The sequence below is a fragment of the Homo sapiens genome, chromosome X (genome assembly GCF_000001405.40).
Source record: "Homo sapiens chromosome X, GRCh38.p14 Primary Assembly".
Taxonomy (NCBI): domain Eukaryota; kingdom Metazoa; phylum Chordata; class Mammalia; order Primates; family Hominidae; genus Homo; species Homo sapiens.
In genome coordinates, this window is record NC_000023.11 from 31,658,981 (window position 1) to 31,680,824 (window position 21,844).

Here is a 21,844-nt window from a genome sequence, read left to right on the forward strand (position 1 = left end):
CACAGGAATAGGAACAGGTAGTTCAAACAAGAGAAAGAGTGGGATGATTTTATTTAAAAAGAAAAAAGTTAACTTTCAAGTAATAAAAAATAGAGTATTAAATTGAAAAGGTACAATTGGACACCAATTAAATTAACAAAAAATAAAATCCAAAGCTGAAAAGACCAGTAAAACTAGCACATTCACGTATTACTGCTGGGGACCGTTATCTATTAGGACAATTTGGCAATAGATACCAAGTGACATACAAATGCTTATTCCCATTGACTCAATAATCTCACTTTTGGTACTTTATCCTGATAAAATCTTCAAAAGAAGATCAATATACTATATGACTTAAAATCTTCATTAACCAAAGCAGTAAAAAAATGAGAAACAGGCCGGGTGCGGTGGCTCATGCCTGTAATCCCAGCACTTAGGGAGGCCAAGGCGGGTGGATCACGAGGTCAGGAGTTCAAGACCAGTCTGGCCAAGATGGTGAAACACCGTCTCTACTAAAAATATAAAAATTAGCCGGGTGTGCTGGTAGGCTCCTGTAATCCCAGCTACTCGGGAGGCTGAGGCAGAGAATTGCTTGAACCCAGGAGATGGAAGTTGCAGTGAGCCAAGATCACGCCACTGCACTCCAGCCTGGGCGACAGAGTGAGACTCCATCTCGGAAAAAAAAAAAAAAAAAAAAAAAAAAAAAGAGAAACAATGTCGATGTTTAATGCAGGGACATTAAAAGAACATAATACATCATTCCAATGGTCCAATATGTAGCAAATGTGCACAGTAATCACTGTAAAAAGAGCACAATTTTCTTGTGTAAAAAACAGAACACAATTTTTAACTACACTGTGTTTATCTCTAAGAATACATAATCATGAGCTGAACACGAAATGGAAGAAATTGAAAATAATGCTTCTGAGGAGAAAAATCATTTTTGTTTTAATATTTGTTCTTTTGCGTTAGTATGATATTTACAGAATAAAAATCAAACAGTGTTCTTAGCATAATTTCAGCGTGTTTGGTGAACTCCTATTGAACATATACAATCTATATATAATGTAATTTCTCAGTTAACTAAAACATCCTAGAATCAAACCAAGTAATAGTATTTACTGCATATAGCAAATAGACCCAGATTACCAAACTATTATCAAGAAGCTAATGCCAATATCACTGACTTTTGCTATGAAAGCAGAGGACAGTGTCTAAAGGCACAGAGCATAGTTGCTGCTATTACAAAACAATTAACATTTATCCGCGTGGAATGCCTGCCTTTTCTTCCATACTCCTTTTATCAAGCATTACAGTTTCTATTCTCCACTTTTCAGATCCTCGCACTATTTGAAAGCCCTTCTGAGGGAACTTCTGCCAAAGGCTTGCCTTTTCTAGAAATATCCTAGGGTACAAAATTACCACTTCTTTCTTTCTCCTCCTCACTTAAGCCAAACCTAAAGTGATAAAAGAAATGTATTCCAAGATACGAAAGAACATGTAATTGGCCCTTAGTATCCAGAGGGTGCTATTTGCATTTTAAAAGAAGAGCTTATTATCTCTCATCTATTAAATTGCTAATTAATAGCATGAACATCCACAAAACTGAGACCAATAACTTGGTTACCTTTTTTTCAAATGAATTCCTTTTATAAAACACTGAATTGTTAATAAAATACTTATGATGGACCAGTATCAGAGCATATATGTAAAAGCTCAGGAATACAAAATAAAAACAAAATTTTTAGTAAATATATAATTAAAATCATTTATTTTACTCAAGCAAGTTAAATAACCTTGGAAGCCACCCATCACTCATAGGTTCCTGTTTGAAAAGTCTAGATATAAGAGGTTATACCATTTGGATGGTTTCATGGGTATATGCACATGTTCTAGCCCATATAATTTTATGCAGTTTTTGTATATCAATTACACTTCAATAAAGCTGTTAAAATTAAAAAACATAAAATGCAGAAGGTGCCAATGAATCTAAAAACATAATCAATAGATCATAAAAATGCCTAAAATTATAAATTATAACATATCCTAGAATTTTCCAAAATCTCTGAAAGAAATAGTAAGCTAGAGTTAAATGACAGATTTCCTACTAAACAAGGTAGTAAAGAGTGAGGCTTGACGTCAAACCAGAACTTTTTGATGTACTTTAATGCTTGAAAGGTAGAAATACGCGTGCCATATATTTTTCTGCAAAATTGTATTCACAGCGAAAGTTAGGACTGTTATACCTAAGGAAATCTTGACTGAGTGCTAACCCTCACTGAATACTGCCCAGGTTTTGTGAGGATGTAGGATTAAAAAGTAAAACTCCCACTGACCTTGACTGACATTGAGGGGGCTCAGGCCCTTATATAAACACAAAGGTTCTCAAAGGTAGCCTTTTTTTTTTTTCTCCCTTCTTAAAGACATTCCCCACACAGAATGTTTTCCCTTTCTCCTACGGTAATATTCTGCCCGCCCACCTTGGGTTTTACCCAAGTGTCATTCACACTAGGAACCATGACCTTGACCAGCTTTGCCTACTGCTGTGAAATTTACTACTGGGATAACTCCAGACCTCAGAAGGAGTGTAAATTCAAAAATACAACAGACTTCACACACACCCTTTTCTCTTTCTGAATTCCATTGACAATGGTGTACACCACAGGGAATTGCTTGTGTGGTGATCATGGTGTGTGAAGAAATTTAAAATACTGTGAGCACTAGCTTATAAAAAAAGATTGCCTTTGTATATGTGTGTGTGTGTATGTGTGTGTGTGTGTATGTGTGTGTGTTTTCTATGAAGAATATAAAATGCTAAATCCCCAAAAGATTGTTTCCCCAACCAGGAAAGAAATGTTTCACATTCAAACCCATTATGCTGCTACTGCACTATGTGCTTGATATATATTCACAGTATCTTAGGTAGAAAAAGTGATTGTGGACTATGAGACAACCTGAATTAATTTCAAGAATTTTGAGTATTTTTTTCTACTTTAATTGTTTGTCTTCTCTCATTTCTTTTATGTGTAAGAACTTATTTTAGTGATATTGACCCTACATGGTAGAAAAGAGAGGAGGAAGAGAAAGAGTAGCTAAAAGCCTGAGCAATACAATGAGCCTGCTGGGTTTGAATCCTGGCGTGATCGCTTAGTGGCAAATGGGAGAGTTAATTATCTTTTCTGTGCCTCAGTTTCCTCCTTTGCTAAATGGGAATATTAACAGTATTTATGTGGAAATATGATTAGGTGGGTTAACTTAGAGAATTCAGGGAGAACATTTACAAAGGTGCCTGGCGTGCCCGAAGGATTAAATAAATATTAATCATCATCAGCATCAGCATCATCATCATCATTACTACTGCTAGCACATCTACTACTAATTTTAATGAGTCAAACTATATTCCCCACAGTGTGAGCCCCTTCTGAATGCAAAGCAAGTAGCTCGCTGTTTTATGGACATTGTCTAGAAATGCTGCAACTCTAAAATTCTCCCTTTAACTTGGAAGATAAAAGCAAGTGCATAGCTCTATCATTAAAATTTTAAGGTTGAATATTGGTTAAATTTCCTTTTAAAATGTGTTTTGTGATATTCACCTACAAGTAAAATAAATGTTTGTTCCGGGTGAACTATTACTTAAATTTTTAATGACTGTGTCTCAAAGGAACTTCAAGAAAGGCAGTGCAGAGTAACGAAAGGACATCTTCCCAGGAAGTTTTGCTTGTCCATTGTTCTGCAGTTTGATCTTAAGGAAGTCATTAACCTTGTAAGTCCCAGTTTTGTCATCTGTAAACTAGGATGGGGTTACTTGCTCTGACCATGCCTCCGGCTTGTCCTGAAGTGTCAAAATCAAGCAATTGCTCGGAAAATTGTAAAACAGGATCCTAATATGCTTATGAACAAAAAGTTCTACATGTTGGATTTGTTATTTTTCCTTGGATCCTGTATTTACATTCATGAACCAAGGGATTCATGGAAAAATTTAACTCTGTTAGCTAACCACCAAGAGGTCGTTTGCTCTTAGATCCATTCTCTACCCATTTCCTACTCCACTCAGTATTGAGATGTACTAACTCCCATAGGAGGTCAGAATTTCCTGGGATTTCTTGCTAGCTGGCTTCTAACTAGGTTAAGTCATGAGACACACTAGTGGGAGACAGAAGAGCATGAGAAAGGGTGAAACAAGATAATTATCCCCCTTCTCTCTCTGTCTTGGCAGTATCTCCTTTGTCTCCGTTTCCCACTGGACGGCTGCTCCCTCTGTAATTCCATTACCTGCTGTGCAGACCTTACATTGGGTGAATTAGCACCCGATGGTTCTGGTTTCTGGGCTTTGGTAAAACTTGTCGGTTCCCCAGCCCTTGAGGTGGTAATAGTTTCCTGAAGTTGCTAAACTCTGGGTTGCCTCACTGTCCTCTGTTGGGTTTGTCAGCTCCTTCATTCCTATGGAGGAGCCAGTCCTCTGTATTGAATTTCCTCTGTTTGAAATATCGAATGTGGTTTACAGACTAATTCCTGACAACACGAACTGAAAGAAATCTCACAGTAAATGATCCTACCTACAATTCCACAGGGGGAAATTTAATATATCAAACATACATTTCATGAAATATCAGACTTTACATCTTGCATCCTTCTCTCTAGTCTCAGAGGAAGAGGCGACTTTTCTGCTATTGGAAGTTGATTTCACCATCTGGGCACCCATCTATTCTGGGATCCTCCTCCACATACTCCCTCTCTCTTTGTGTGTTCCAACTTCTTGCCTCTCTGCGGGGACCTTCTCTAGAGACTTCAAACATGAGTGTCTCTCTCATCTTTAAACAACAACAACAACAATAATCTGCACTCTATCATTTTCTTTCCTTTCACAGTCACACTCTTTAGAAGGCAGATATTCACTCATTATCTCAACTTGACTACATTCGTGCCACTCTCCAATTCATGAAAATCAGGCTTCTGCCATCATCGTTCCACTAAAACTATTCTGACAGAAGTCACTATGGCAAATTGAATTACTGGCCCCAATTCTTTACCTCTCCCTGTATCCATGCCCTTTGCTAAGTAACTCTGAAATTCTTCCTACGAAAGACAGCATGCCCTTGACATTGAGCTTGGTCATGCGCCTTGCTTTGCCTAATCCCAGTGGGATATTACTAGAAGTAACACAAGCAGAGGCTTGAAATGTATTTATGCAGTGTGGCTATCCCTTTTGCACTTCACCATTACCTTAAGACAAACATGCTCTGGACTAGCCTACTCATCTCAGGAGGAGAATGAGTGACATATGGAGCAGAGCGACCCCAATCAACCTGCAACATGAAGAAGTGCCACCCCACCCAAGCTGAAAATTCATGAAAGGCAATATGGGCTTATTGCTATATGCCACTCACATTTGTGAAAATAGTTAACTGATTCAGTTACCAAAAGCCAATGCCTATGGAAAGATTTAAGTTCTTATTTACTTGATTTATTTGCAGCAACTGGTGCTGCTGACTATTCTCTTCTCGAAGTTCTCTGCTTTCTTGGCTTCCACTCTTTTGGTCGCCTCTGTATTCTCTGAGTGTTCAAGCTTTTTTTTTTTTTTTTTTGCCTGTCCTTTAAATATTAATGTTCTCCAAAATTCTGTCTCTGGATCAATCTGATATGTTGGTCCTCAACTGGAGCAGGAGGCAGGGAACATACTCCCTGGGTAGTTGTATCATAAGTTTTTTTTTTTTTTTTTTTAACTTTTATCCAAATCTTCTACTTCCATTGACACTACCTTAATTTACGTCCCTATCATCTCTTGCTCAGGTACTAAAATAATCTTTTTTATTGGCTCCCTCCCTCCACTCTCAAACCACCCTTCCACCTACATACAACTGCGTAAATGATCTTTTTGTAATGCAAATAGAACCTCATTTCTCCTCTGTGTAAAACCTTTCAATGGTTTGCTATTACCTGCAAGACAAAGTCCTAACCTCTCTCTTTGGATTACAAGGCCCTCGAATATATGACCCCTACCTACATATTCACTTTCATCTTTTGATATCTTCTTCCTTTTTGAGCAATTCCATAATTGTCCACATGAGAATATAAATGCTCTGAAAGGTTAAGTGACTTGTTCAAGGTGACATAGCTAGTCAGTGAAAGAGTCATCATAAAAATGCAGGTTTCTGGACTCTCAATTCAGGTTTCATTTCAATTCAGTTAAAGAAGTTATGCATCCATATAAAGAAATTTAAGGAAAAGGACTGGGTTTATTTTAACTGAGCTTTGAAGAATATAAAACAATCTTGATGATTATAGCATGACTGGAAAATTATTATGTATAATAAAGTAAGGCATTTCTGAAAAAAAGACAGCAGAAAAATACATAGTTTATTTTTGAAAATCACTAAACAATTTGGTCCCAAGAATGAATTAATGTTCTATAAATCCTTATTGGGAAAAGAGAAGCACAATTTCTTCCCTCCTTGTGTGAATTAAAACGACCTATAAAACCTCTTTATGGATTTATAATAGAAATGTTAAAATAGCTGTAAGAAAGCCATTTCAAAAGTAAAGCCTCTCACCATTAACTTCAAGACTCATCTATTAAACCTCTGACATTACCAAACAACTCTGTTTCAGAAGGTAACACTCTATACAGGGCATACTATTTAAGAAAATGGCCCTCATTTTCCGGCTTACTGAAAATGATTAATCTTTACAATAGCTTTGAAGACTACATACCAACGTCGTTACTTTTCTGTCCTTTCAACAATGACTACAAGCTGAGAGCAGACTAGTAAATGTGTTATCGGCCAACCCATTAGAGTTCCATTATTTTCTGTCTTACATGGCTTCATGTAATGAATTTTTATAATTAAACTAATGGCATACAATATATTTTTCCCCTCTTTACTTTCAGGCCCCATTTCTCTTCCAGCTGCTTTGGAATAAGTTTCATACAAAAAGAAGGGAGGAGAGGTCTCCAAGTGCTTCGTTACCTTAATTTCATTATGACATTTTTGAAAGCATTCTCTTTATCTGGGCTCTCTCTTTAATTTGCTGACTTTATTAAAAGGCTTAAGCAATACTGTAATTAACAAATCACCCAGCTACCCCAGGCATCTGAGAAAAGTCAGTTGAGAGGGTGTAGAAATGGATGGGTGGAAACGATTCCAGAAACAATGCCAGAGGACAGAACCCCAGAAAATGGCGTTTTTTCAGCTCCTTTTCAGACCCCATGAGCATATTGTGGTAGACTGCATTATTGTTCTCAAATATCCAGTGCCTTTTCACGCCAGAAGATTATACATCGGCATTCCCATTGAACTCAGGAATGGCCATGTGACTGGTTTTGTCTACTGGTCACTTCCAGGCAGAAGGCTCAAGAACCATGTTCCTTGCCTCTATGATCATGAAAGAATGTACCAAGATGGAGATACCATCAGCCATGGTCCCCGAGTGACTAAGCTAAGTAGAATGCTCTCATCAGTCTACAACGAACATGTAACATGAGTAAAATATAGACTATTAAGCCTCTAGATTTGAGGTTGCTTATTACTGTAGCTTAGCCTATGCTGACTGACATACCTATTCAGATATGACCTTATTTCACATAGAGTAGGGCAATTCTAATACCTCCAGACAGTCCTGGACCAGGACCAGGGCTAGAATAAACTAGTATAATGACACATAAAGAACAGGTTCTCTTATTAATAAATAGGAAGCCACATAAATGTTGAGGAAATGTTTAGAACAACAATATCCCTGTTTTTCTGAACTACAGGTAACATCTCAGAATATATTCTATAGGACAGAACCTGCCTATCTTGACCATAAAAGAAAATAGCTCCCTATCCATTGTGTGATGGAGGCTCCCATCTAGGTAGCAGTTATGTTCCACAGACATGGCTATTTTTTCATTTCTATAGCTGGCAAGCAGCTTCATGAAAGAGAAAAATGGAGACTATGTTTCTAAAACTGTGTTCATAAAACTTGAAAAAATAAGAAAAGATCTGTAGTCAATGACATGCAGATATACTTTTTAACATACCATAAAATTCTCCCACTTAAAGTGCATAATTTTCTGGTTCTTAATGTATTCAGGGTTGTGCAACCATTATTATGATCTAATTTGAGAACATTTTATTTGCCCCCAATGAAACCCATACCAATTAACAGTCCCTTTCTATTGTCTATTCTCCTCCTCCTTCAGTCTTTACTGGATGTTTTATATGAATGTATTGATACAATTTGGGGTCTTTTGTGACTGGATTCCATCACTTAGCATATTTTTGAGGTTCACTCATGTTACAGTGCATATCAGTATTTCATTTCTTTTTATTGCTAAATAATATTCCATTTTTGGATGTAGAGGACATTTTAAAATTTATTCATTAGCTGATGGACATTTGGGTTGGTTCTACTTTTTGGCTATTATAAATAATGCTGCTATGAACATCTGTATAAAGGTTTTCTGTGTACATATGTATTTTTATTTCTGTTCAGCATACACCTGGGAGTAGAATGGTTTTGTCATATGGTAGCTTCATGTTTAATATTTCCAGGAGACTGGGAAGGGTAGTGGTAGGGGGAAAGGGGGGGATGGCTAATGGGTAGTGAAATTTATAATACAAAAATATAGTTTGATAGAATGAATAAGATCTAGTATTTGATAGCACAAGAGGATGACTACAGTCAAAAAATTTATTGTGAATTTAAAAATAACTGATTATTATTAGATTGTCGTTTGTAACAGAAAAGATAATTGCTTGAGGTGAGGGATAGGCCAGGTACCCCAATGTGACTGTTACACATTGTATGCCTATATCAAAATATTTCCTGTATCCCATAAATATATATACCTACTGTGTACCCACAAAAATTAAAAATTAAAAAAATATTTCCAGGAACTTCCAAACTGTTTTCAAAGTTGTTTCACCATTTTACATTTCCACCAGTAATGTGAAAATTCCAAGCATTCTTCATCTTCTCAACACTTGTTATTGTCTGTATTTTTTGTATTAGCCATCCTAGTGGGTAAAAAGTACTATCTCCTTGTGGTTTTCATTTGCATTTTTTAAACAATCAATGATGTTAACCATCTTTTCATGTGCTTATGGAGATCTATACATCTACTTTGGAGAAATGCCTATTCAAACTGTTTCTTCACTTGTAATTAAGTCATTTATCCTTTTTGTTGTTGAATTATGAGTTTTTATATATTCTTGATACAAGTATCTTATCAAATATATGATTTACAAATATTTTTACCCATTCTGAGGATTGTCTTTTCCCTTTCTTTACAATATTGCTTGCAGTACAAAAGTTTTAATTTTGTTAAAGTCCAAATTGTGTATTTTTCGGTTACTTTTGCTTTTGGTGTCATATCTAAGAAAACACTGCATAATCCATTGTATTCCTACATTTTCTTAGAAGAGTTTTAAAGTTTTAGTTCTTATTAATATATTTAGCTCTATGATTCATTAAAAATATATTATTATTATAAAGTTTATTTTACAAAAGTTTTAAAACATTTTATTTTTAATTTTATTTTGCTTTGACAAATAATTATATACATTTATGGGGTACATGTATGTTCTGATATATGTATACACTGTGGAATGATTATATCGAGCAATTTAACGTATCTATCACTGCATATATTTATCATATTTTATAGCAAGAACATTTAAAATCTGTTATTTTAGCAATTTTGAAATATACAATATAATATTATTAACTATGGTCACCAGGTTGTGTCATAAAGTCTCAAAAACTTATTCCTCCTGACTAAAGTTTTTAACCCCTTTTGATCAACATCTCCCCATTTTCCACCCCTAAATCCACAGCCTCTGGTAACCACCATTCTACTCTCTACTTCAATGAGTTTGACTTTTTTAGATTCCACACATAAGTGAGATCACGCAGTATTTGACTTTCTGTGCCTGGCTTATTTCATTTAGTATAATGTCCTCCAGGTTCATCCACGCTGTCATAAACAAAAGGATATTCTTTATTTAAGGCTGAATAATACTCCATTGTGTATATGTACCACATTTTCTTTATCCATTCATCCACTGATGGAAACTTAGGTTGATTCCATATCATGGCTTTTGTGACTAATGCTGCAATAAACACAGGAGTGAAGATATCTCTTTGACATACTGGTTTAAATTCTTTTGGATATATACCCGGAAGTGGGATTGCTGGATCCTATGGTAATTCTGTTTTCAGTTTTTTGAGGAGCTACCATACTGTTCTCCATAATGGTTGTACTAATATACATTCCCACCAATGATATACAAGTGTTACCTTTTTTCCATATCCTTGATCAACACTTGTTATCATTCTTCTCTTTTTATAACAGCCATTCTAACAGGTGTAAGGTGACATCTCACTGCGATTGTAATATGCATTTCCCCAATGATTAGTGATGTTGAGCATTTTTCACAAACCCGTTAGCTATTTGTACATCTTCTTTTGAGAAATGTTTAAGTGTTTTGCCCATTTTAATCAGATTATTTGTTTTCTTTTATGATACATTTAAGCTAATTTTTGTGTATGGTGTGAGGTGGGGCCAAATTTCATTATTTTTCATGTGTATATCCAGTTATTCTAGCACCAGGTTGTGAAAGACTATTCTTTTTCCATTGAATTCTCTTGGTACCCTTGTCAAAAATCAGTTGACCATAAATGCAAAGGTTTACTTTTGAACTTTCAATTCTATTTCATTGATCTATATGTCTATTCACATTCTAGTACCACATTGACTTAATAATTGTAGCTTTGTAGTAGTTTTTGAAATTGGAAAGTTAACTCCTCCAATGTTGTTCTTTTTTCAAGGTTGTTTTGACTATTCTACATCCCTTGCATTTCAATAGAAATGGTAGGATCCACTTGTCAATTTCTGAAAAAAAAAAAAAAGCCAGTTGTGATTTTGATAATGATTCCATAGAGTCTGTAGATCAATTGGGGGGATATTGATATCTTAATAATATTAAGTCTTTTGATCTGAGAACATGTGATATTTTTCTATTTTTTTATCTTTAATTTCTTTCAACACTGCTTTGTATTCTTCAGTATACAAGCCTTGCATCTCTTTTATTCCTAAGTTTTTAACATTTTTTGATGCCATTGTAAATATTTTCTTAATTTCACTTTTAGATTATTCATTTTTAATGTATAAAATAATTCATTTTGTATATTGATCTTGTATCCTACAAATTTGCTGAATTATTTTATTATTTCTAATATTTTTTCATAGATTCTTCAAAATTTTCTAATTACAAGGTCATGTTGTCTGCAAGTAGAGATAATTTTACTTATTCCTTTCTAATCTGGATGTCTTTTATTTATTTTTCTTGCCTAATTTCCCTGGCCTGAACTTCCAGTACAATACTGAATAGAAGTGGTGAGACCAGGCATCCTTCACTATTTCCTGATCTTAGGGGAAAGCATTCAGTGTTTCACAATAACATTAGCTGTGGAATTTTTGTAGCTGCCTTTTATCAGGTTGAGGAAATCCTCTTCTGTATTCGTTTCCTCGGGCTTCTGTAATTAAGTGTCACAATTTGCGTAGCTGGGTAGACAAAACTCATTGTCTCAGACTTCTGGAGGCTAGATCCAAAATCAAGATTCCAGCAGGCCCATACTCCTGCTGAAACCTGTAGGGGAGAATTTTTCCTTGCCTCTTCCTTGCTTCTAATGATGGCCGTTAATCATTAGTTTTACTTGTCTTGCAACTGTAGCACTTTAATCTCTAACTGTAACATCACATGGTGTTTTTCCCGTGGTCAGTGCCTTTATGTGGCATTCTTCTCTCTGTGTATGCCTCTTTTCCTCTTCTTATAAAAATACCATCTTAACTTGACTGCATCTGCAAAGACTCTATTTCTACATAAGGTCACATTTGCAGATACCTGGGCTCAGGCTTTTAGTATGTCTTTTGGGAGCGGGGGACACTATTCAATCCACAAAACCTTCTTTTTTTTTTTTTTTTTAGACGGAGTCTCGCTCTTTCGCCCAGGCCGGACTGCAGTGCTGCTGTCTCGGCTCACTGCAAACTCTGCCTCCAGGGTTCGCGCCATTCTCCTGCCTCAGCCTCCTGAGTAGCTGGGACTACAGGCGCCCGCCACCGTGCCCAGCTAATTTTTTGTATTTTTAGCAGAGACGGGGTTTTACCGTGTTAGCCAGGATGGTCTCAATCTCCTGACCTCGTGATCCAACTGCCTCGGCCTCCCAAAGTGCTGGGATTACAGGCGTGAGCCACCACACCTGGCCAATACCTTCTATTCTTCATTTGTTAAGTGTTCTTTATTTTTCAAGCTTGAAAGGGTTTTGTACTTTGTCACATGAATTTTCTATATTTATTGTGATGACCATACGATTTTTGTCCTTTATTCTATTGATATGGTATAATACATTGATTAAATTTTGGATGTTAAACCAACCTTACATTCCTGTGATAAATCTTACCTGGTTATGGTAGCAATCATGTTAATATGTTGTTGTATTAGGTTTGATAATTTTTTGAGGCGTTTCAAGTCTATATTCATAAGGCATATTGCTCTGTAGCTTGTTTTCTTGTGATATCTTTGTCTGGTTAGGAAGTGTTCCTTTCTCTTCTATTTTTTGGAAGAGTTGTTTATATGTTTGGTAGAATTCATCGGGGGAAGACTTCTGGGCCTGAGCCTTTCATTGGGAGAAGTTTTTAATACCAATTCAATTTCTTGTTATAGGTCTATCCAGGTTATCTATTTGTTTAGTTGTTCATAATATCCTCTTTTACTTCTTTTTATTTCTGTAATGTTGGTAGTAATGCACCCTCTTTTTCTCTAATATTAGTAATTTGACCATTTCTTTCCTAACCAATCAGCTAAAACTTTGTCAATTTTGTTGACCTTTTCAAATAACTAAATTTCTAGATTTTGGTTTTGTTGATTTTTTCTATTATATTTTCTTCCTCTATCTGATTTTTTTCACACTAATTGTTATTACTTCCTGCTGCTTACTGTAGATTTACTTTTCTCTTCTTTTTCTAGTTTCTTAAGGTAGAAGCTTAGGCTACTGATTTCAGATCTTTTTCCTTTTTAAATATAGGTATTTATAGTTATACATTTTACTCTAAGCACTGCTTCAGCCTCCTCCCATAAGTTTTGGTATATTGTATTTTTATTTCCATTTATCTCAAGATATTTTTGTATTTTCTTATTTCTTCTTTGTCCCATTGGCTATTTAAGAGTGTGTTGTATAATTTTCTCATATTTATGAACTCCCAAATTTACATCTGTTACTGATTTTTAATTGTACTCCATTATGGTCATAAAATCTGCATTGTATGATTTTAATCCCTTTGAATGTAGTGAGACTTATTTTATGACCTAGCATATGGCCTACCCTAGAGAATATTTCGTGTACAGTTGAAAAGAATGAGTATTCTGCTATTATTGGATGAAACGCTGTATAGATATCTGTTAGGTCTTGTAAGTTTATAGTCTTTATAGTCTTTTTCAAGTGTCTATTTCCTTGTTAATTTGCCTAGTTCTTTTACCTGTTATTAAAAGTGAGATGTTGAAGTCTCCAACTATTTTTGTTGAATTACCTAATTCTTCTTTCAGTTCAGTCAGTTTTTGCTTTCTGTATTTCCTTAATATTTTTTCTTTCTTTTCTTTGGATTGGATTATCCCATTTACCTATTTTCAAGTTTGCTGATTCTTTCTTTTGCAGCTTGAATCTGACGTCAAGTGAAAATTTAATTTTAGTTATTGTGCTTTCCAACTCCAGATATTCCACTGAGTTCTTATTTACAATTTCTATCTCTTTATTGATACTCTCTATTTGTTAAGACAAGCACATGGGCTTCTAGATCCCGCAAGAACATGTCAGAGGTTGCCAAAATCCCCTATGGACACCTCATTCTCCAGAGCTTCACTGGAAGTTTTTCTCCAGACCTATGTTTATCTCAACTAGCATCACAGCCTTAGGAACCTGTTATGTTAAAGAATTGCTGCTAATTGGTTTGGACCAACACCCTGGAGCTAGGGCTTTTCCTAGAAAGTTATCTCTAAGTCGGGCCAAATAAAGGCAAGGCCATGTATATAGGTTTATTCCAGGGAGCTGCAAGATAGGTCAAACAGTGGCAAGGTTCTTGGAATAAAATTGGCCTTTTTGAAGAATTCCAATCCTGGTCTACACTCTCTGGTGGCTAAAAGGCTGCTAGTTTTCACAGCTATTATGGTTGCAAGGCTACTGATTTTCAAGGCTACTGTGGAGCTGGGAGAAAGTGACGGGAAAGGCCAACTTAAAAAACCTCAAACTTTGCCATTTTTATTGAGAGTCAGCATTTCAAAAATTGTTGCCAGCCTTTGGTTAATTCCCAGGGTTCAGAAAAGGCGATGTGGGGCCAGGCATGTTGGCTCACGCCTGTATCCCAGCACTTTGGGAGGCTGAAGTGGGCGGAACACTCGAGGTCAGGAGTTTGAGACCAGCCTGGCCAACATAGTGAAACCCTGTCTCTACTAAAAACACGAGAAATAGTTGGGCGTGGTGGAATGTGCCTGTAGTTCCATCTACTTGGGATGCTGAGAGACTCACTTGATCACAGGAGGTGGAGGTTGCACTAAGCCAAGATCATGCCACTGCACTCCAGCCTGGGTGACAGAGTGAGACTCCATCTCAAAAAAAGGAAAAAAAGAAAGAAAAGAAAAAAGAAAAGATGATTTCGAAAATTTTTTGAGGAGCAGATTTACACAGTTACCACATTATATTTTCAAGCACGGGATAAGTTAAATTGTGAAAAGCAAACTAGAGAAAATATGGTACAATCAAAGCATAAAGTTATTCAAGGCTTGGTGACTCTGCATTAAATATTTATATAATATAATAGTTACCTGGGGAAACTAGCCCATTACTACCTGTGTTCTATCAGCAATGTAGAGAGCACTCTGTTTGTATGCTTTGAGAACTTTAAGAGTTTCATGCATACTTTAGAAGGAAAAGTACTATTGGGTTATTGATCTTTTCTCTTTAATCACATAGAAGCTTTAGGGGAGAACAAAAGGGAATAAAGAAAATACATGAAGAAATGGTAGGTCCTGGCAAGAAGATTTCTAATAATGCTTTTCATTATTGTACCAGAAACCCAAACCTCAAACTACTAGTGTGGGTCAATTTGCTGATTTAATTTTGTACAACTCCAAAAAATACACAAAATATATAAAAGAAAAATTCAGTTTCCACTACCGTACATATTTTTATGGTGGATGAGATATATGATGCCATCGATCCTTCCACAGATAACTAAAAATGTAAGGCACTACTTCCATATTTGAAAAATGTCTCCCTTTTTAGTAAAATAATTTGAGACACTCAAATAGCTGCCTTAGTTACTACATACAATAAGTTCAACTTTTAAAATTAATTATGTGATTATAGAATGTCTGTGTTTCAAGTTTCCTAAAGAATGCCTTCAAAAACACAGAGATTTTGCAGCCTTAGAAATGTTTATTCAATAATTTGAAAAGTATTGAATTTCTTGCTTCAGATAGTTTTCAATATTATATAGCCAAATCAGCCAGGCTCAAACAAGATTTCACTTCTCTATTGAATTCATGTACTCTTAGCTCAGCCAAGCACAAAACAGCTAATGCTGTCACGTTTGAAAAGCTTTTACGCTGAATTTGACACAAAAGCAATCACAAAGCCGACAAAAAGGGGATTTCTCTTTCAAAAACTGACAGGGGAAAAAATAAATGAAAACTCGGAGCCTGGGAAAATCTCTCTTGACACTGGAAAAGAAAGTTTAAAACGATCAAGAAATAATTTTTCCAAAGAATCCATTGCCAAGTTTGGACCAATCTTAAAAGCCTAGGGAACAGGTTATGAACTCAACCAAGAATCCGCCAAATGAAATAAATCCTATGATGATCACTGTTGGCAGTTTTAGGTGCCAATGGCATACTATTTTTGCCTCTTGTGAAAGTTCTAAATGGCATCATCTCTCATAGGATTCTGTCATAGCCTATTGGCAAAGATTTTGATTAGAATGAAAATCTTGTATGTTTTTGCCTAACATCTGTCTTTCTATCTCAAAAGAACTTTATTGTTGTACCAGGCCCATAGAGAAGATAAAATTAAACCATGAAGCCATGTGGCTAACAAAATTAACTACTTTCTAACTTCATGTTTTTGTTTTAGAAAAAATTAAGGGTGAAAGAAAACAATTACCAATATGTTATGGCCGTCTCTTGATGGCCTGCTAATTAATTGTTGATACTCTATGCCATCTGCATTCTGTTTTTTCACCAAATCAAGACTCTCCTGTTGCTGTTTCTTTCCACTCTGACCACGCTTTCAAGATAAGCTTTTTCCACATGACATCTCCGGTTTTATTTCTGTTCTGTGAATAGGTTGTTATTGTCCCCATTTATTCTCCTTATTTATGTATTTTTGAGACAGAGTCTTGCTCTGTCACCCAGGCTGGAGTGCAGTGGCGTGATCTTGGCTCACTGCAACCTCCGCCTCCCGGGTTCAAGCGATTCCCCTGCCTCAGCCTCCCAAGTAGCTGGGACTACAGGCATGCAGCACCACGCCAGGCTAGTTTTTGTATTTTTAGTAGAGACAGGGTTTCACCATGTTGGTCAGGCCGGTCTCAAACTCCTGATCTCGTGATCTGCCTGCCTCGGCCTCCCAAAGTGCTGGGATTACAGGTATGAGCCACCGCGCCCGGCCTCACCATTCTTTTTTTCTAAATAAAAGGAGGAGTTTTTTCTAAATGTCAGACCAGCAAGGACATAAAGATGGAAATTAATGAAATAATATAAAGAAGTTAAAATAATTATTAAAAGATGTTTAACAACATTGATAAATATTTATGCAATATTAAGTTTACAAATCAGAATTTAAAATTTAATTTACATTATGTAGACAATTAAAATATATGTAGATAAGAACTAGAAGAGACTGTCAATAAAGATTAGCAATTATGAATCATTAATTGCTTTTTGGTATCAAGCATTTTTGGTAATTTTCTTTTTACGTTCAGGTATGGTGACTGGCTCAAATTTTAAGAGTTATAACAGTGTTGGTGGTTGGGTTTGAAACATTTCATTGTTGCTCAGTAGTGAGAGTTAGTGTAGTCATCACTGAGGTGCTGCAAAGGAGGCTGGCTGCTGTAATCACAGCTCTCCAAGGCTGTAGACATAGCTTTGTGATTGCCTTGTGAGGCTCACAGGCTCTCTTGTTAATCTTAGGCACACAGACTCAGAAAGAACTTACGGAGCAAGGGGGTGTTGCTTTAGCCATTTAATGTCTCCTCCTGTCTATTTTCACACTTTTTTCCTAAAAGAAAATTTTAAGTAATAAGCCAGCTAATATCACTTAGTAGTGATGACACATTCGATGTAAAGACCAGATAACCATTTTATTTGCTCCCTACCTTTTAGAAGAATTAAACATTGTCGTTTCATTAAAAATGAAATGCAGTTTGCAATTATTGTTTTATTTTTTCATCAAAGAATATAATATGAAATTTTTTTTCGCAGTATACTATTTCATTGCTTTCATTTTCTACCTGTTGGTTTATCAGTAATGTAATATAATCTTATTTGTCAATTAATAATTACATGAGTCTTTTTCAGATTCTTATGGGGTTTTCTTGCTTTGTTTTAGCCACGTAGACAATTGGAAGAGGAAGCCTGTGAGGTCATCTACAAGAGTAATTGCTATGCATTCGCATCACAACTCTACTACTTTCAAAAGAAGATTCTGAACTTCTCTAGCCTTCAGTTTTCTTCTCTGCAAACTAAGAATAATAAGAGTACTTTTCAAAGAGTGTTTTTGAAAGGATGAAATAAACCAATATATATAAAGTGACTAGCATACTTTTTGACACACAGCAAGCATTCACTAAAAGTTATTATTAACATTAGGATTACTTTAATTTTAGCATACATCATTCAAGAAATGGATGAAAAAATTACAGCTTTGGCCATCTTTATCTGTATCGGGAACTTACATTGAATCTGCAGCAATACACATCATTAAATTCCTAAACACAGAGCACAAACAAAAAATGTCAATCTCTATAGATAGTGGCTGAGCCATTTTTATGATGTAGTTTTAGACCATTCCAAAGCGTTTTTTTTTTTTAATTTCAAAAGTTTGACAAAGGATAGCAATTATAATACAATTCTGGTTTTATTTTAGGTGATTAAAACATCTTACATGTTTTGACAATGCAATTGTTTTGTTTTCTACTTTCATATTTCCTTCTGCAGATATTTTTGTCTCTTATTTAAAGCTACTTGCTCTTCTAAGAGCAATTAAACCCTAACCATTCTTACCATCACTTTAGGATTTTCTTAGGTTAAATTTATTTCTCATTTGCTAACTACCAGAGTCCTCTTGCCCTAGTCAAATCTATCACTGTATGCCTCTCATCTCTCCTTCTTCTCATCTAACTCAAGGATCCAGTCCAAACTTCGTATTTTCTGCTTATACCTTCTTACCAGTTAACTACTTTGGTTTGTGATCCAATAGATTCATAGTATCCGAAACTTATAGAGAAGAAAAAGAAGTAGCATAACATGCTGACTACCTCACGAATATGACTAGAGCTTTCAAGAATAACCACATGATTCTATATATTACATAGTCAGACCAGGAATTAGGAAAATGACCATTGGAGATTCCTAATTCATCTATGCTCATCCATTGAAAAAACCATTAGTGGTAACATGTGTCTCTTGAAAGAATTTTTATTCACCTAGATTTTGACTCCAACAGAGCTAATGATAAGACTGTAAAATTCTATGTGGCTTTCTAACATCCTCATCATATAAACTAAAACCTTGTCCTCATAGCAGCTCAGGTCCCTTCGATAAAATGGCTATGACAGAGATTGGCTAAAAGCTCACTAATTCCATTAACTCTTCCTGAAATTCAATCGAGAACAAGTTCTGTGTGATGGGATGTGGTGGAAGTGATATACATAATTTCCAGGCCTGGCCATAAAACACCATGGATTGACTGACCACATTCTGTCTTCCTTTTCTGCAGTGGCTTTTGGCAGTGTGTTGAAAATGACAAGTGTCACAAAATTGGAAAAGTCTGGGTTTCCAAGTGACCATGTTGGGGGACAGCTCCTAAGAATGGCTTGTCAACCTCTACTGGACTATGATATAACCAAGAAAGCAGTCTTTATTGTGTTAAGCTATTGAGATTTCAGAGTTCATTTCTTACTATAGCTTAGCATAGCCTAACCTGACTAATTTGGAAATGGAAGCCATTTCATCCAAGAAAATGATACGGTTTCCTTCTTAGATGACATAACCAATTTGAGAATCAGATACTGGTTTAGCAAAAGGCCTTTTCTGTCAGATAAAATATCTATAGAGGGTTTTGATCAAGTGCCCAATCTGATCAACCTCCTACCATGTTACTTCCCTGCTCAAAATACCCTAAAGCTTAACCATTGTTTAACATTTAAGGGCTTTTCAAACTGACTAGTAAATACTAAGTTTGAAGGGATTAAACGCATGCAAAGCACTATGCATGCTGCTTGATAAAACATAGTTATTAAGCAATTTTCTTCCTTTTCCTTTTTCTTTTATCCTGAGGAATTATAGACTACTAAGCAGACAGATATTTGAGGAAATTTCAGAGGAAAGAGAAAGAAGAGAAGAATGAGCTGGGCTGGAGGTAAGAGAATGGGGGGAGAAAGTGAGAGTACTCCTTATTCCTCCCCAATCCTGATACCCACTCACCCCCATTTCTTGATCCAGGGCCTCCAAATAAGATATGAAAGAGTAGACCTGTTACTTTTTCTAGGAAGGAATTAAGCCCGAATGGTTGACTTCATGCAACTACATAAATACGTATACCAATTTTGAAGTGATCTTAAAGATGGTGCAACAGAAAACCAGCCAACTATATCCAGATTACTAAACAAAATTAACTTTAACATTGACATTAGCTGTCAATTTTCCTCTATTCTCTACCTTGACTCAAAAGTCTACTGGCTAGGCATGCTAACTCATGCCTGTAATCCTAGTGCTTTGGGAGGCCAAGGAAGGAGAATTGCTTGAGGCCAAGAGTTCAAGAACCCATCTCTACAGAAAACAAAAATTTTTAAAAAATTAGCCAGGCGTGGTGGTACACGCCTGGCTAGTAGTCCCAGCTACTAGGGAGGCTGAGGCAGGAGGACTGCTTGAGCCCCAGAGTTCAAGGCTCAGTGAGCTATGATTGTGCCACTGCACTTTAGCCTGGGTGACAGTGAGACTCTGTCTCTAAGAAAATAAATATACAAAGTCTACTGTTCATTTCAGCTTTAACGTGATTTTCTGTTAATAACTTTACATTAAACATCATTAAATTACAATCTATGGTATAATTTTATCAAATGTAACCAGTATTTTATTTTAAAAAGGTATCTTTGATACTAACCTTGGTTTCTGTGATTTTCTTTTGGATTGCATCTACTGTATAGGGACCCTCCTTCCATGACTCAAGCTTGGCTCTGGCCTGTCCTAAGACCTGCTCAGCTTCTTCCTTAGCTTCCAGCCATTGTGTTGAATCCTTTAACATTTCATTCAACTGTTGCCTCCGGTTCTGAAGGTGTTCTTGTACTTCATCCCACTGATTCTGAATTCTTTCAACTAGAATAAAAGGAAAAATAAATATATAGTAGTAAATGCTAGTCTGGAGGAGACATTTTAAATGTAACTTCCAAACGTTATCTCACATTTATGTTGCTTATTTAAAAAATTATTCATTGTGTTATGGCTAGGATGATGAACAACAGGATTCTTTGCTTTTTTGATGGCAAATATTAGTTTCTGTTAAATTATTTTCCTGAAGGTGACATAGAACATCAACATATATATAAAATTTTAACTCAATTCTTGATCCCTAGAACCAAATATGAATCATCTGTTAGAAAAGCACTACAGCAGAATATCCATATCCCCTCATCCTTGCCACTTCAGCACCCATCAGCCTGATTTCCCAGTGCCAGCATTTCATTGCCTGAAGGCTTTCTGTTGCCACAGGAGTTTGCTTTGCCATCCATGTGACAGGCTAGACATACCAGGCAACTGATGCCTCCCCTCCAGCTCCCAGAGGCAGCCTGTATATAATGACTAATTGTAGGAATTGGGATATTGTTACACTAGCTCCCTTGATGCTAGGGGAAATAACTCTGAGGCATGTATTTTACAAGGGTTCCAGAGTTTCCCAAGGGATAAAGCTCCAGTGACCCACAACAGCAGCTGGCTTGATAATGCACCACTCTTTACTGGCTGCCTTGCCTCACCTGTCTCATTTTTCCACTCTTCTACTGATTAATTTACCCCCCAAATAAATCACTTGCTCTTAAAACCTTTTCCAAGGGTCTTCTGAGTGAACCCAAGGGAAGATAAGTGTATTAGAAACTTCTTCTTTTTCTTTCTTTTTTTTTTTTGATGGAGTTTTGCTCTTGTAACCCAGGCTGGAGTGCAATGGTGCAATCTCCGCTCACTGCAACCTCCGCCTCCCGGGTTCAAGCTATCCTCCTGTCTCAGCCTCCCGAGTAGCAGGAACTACAGGCACGTGCCATCATGCCCAGCTAATTTTTTTTTTTTGTATTTTTAATAGAGACAGGGTTTCACCATGTTGGCCGGGCTGGTCTCAAACTCCTGACCTCAGGTGATCCACCTGCCTCGGCCTCCCAAAGTGCTGGGATTACAGGCGTGAGCCACCGCGCCTGGCCAACTTCTTTTAACAATACCTAAGAATTCACGCTGGGTGCATTTTGTAAGACTGGCTTATATTGAGGCTATCACTGGTATCATTGGAAGTCCAAGAGGGAGGTACTATATAGATTCTACTCTGAAATATGTTCTTTTCAAATATTAAA

General features: G+C 36.2%; 1 protein-coding gene across 20 annotated transcripts in view; it reads right to left on the bottom strand.

Moving 5' to 3' along the window:
• DMD (dystrophin) overlaps positions 1–21,844 on the bottom strand; it is a 2,220,167-nt gene that overhangs the window by 539,759 nt on the left and 1,658,564 nt on the right. For all 20 annotated transcript variants that reach the window (XM_006724469.4, NM_000109.4, XM_011545467.2 and 17 more), the window contains 1 exon segment: positions 20,395–20,606. In XM_006724469.4, the coding sequence (XP_006724532.1) occupies positions 20,395–20,606 (212 nt within the window).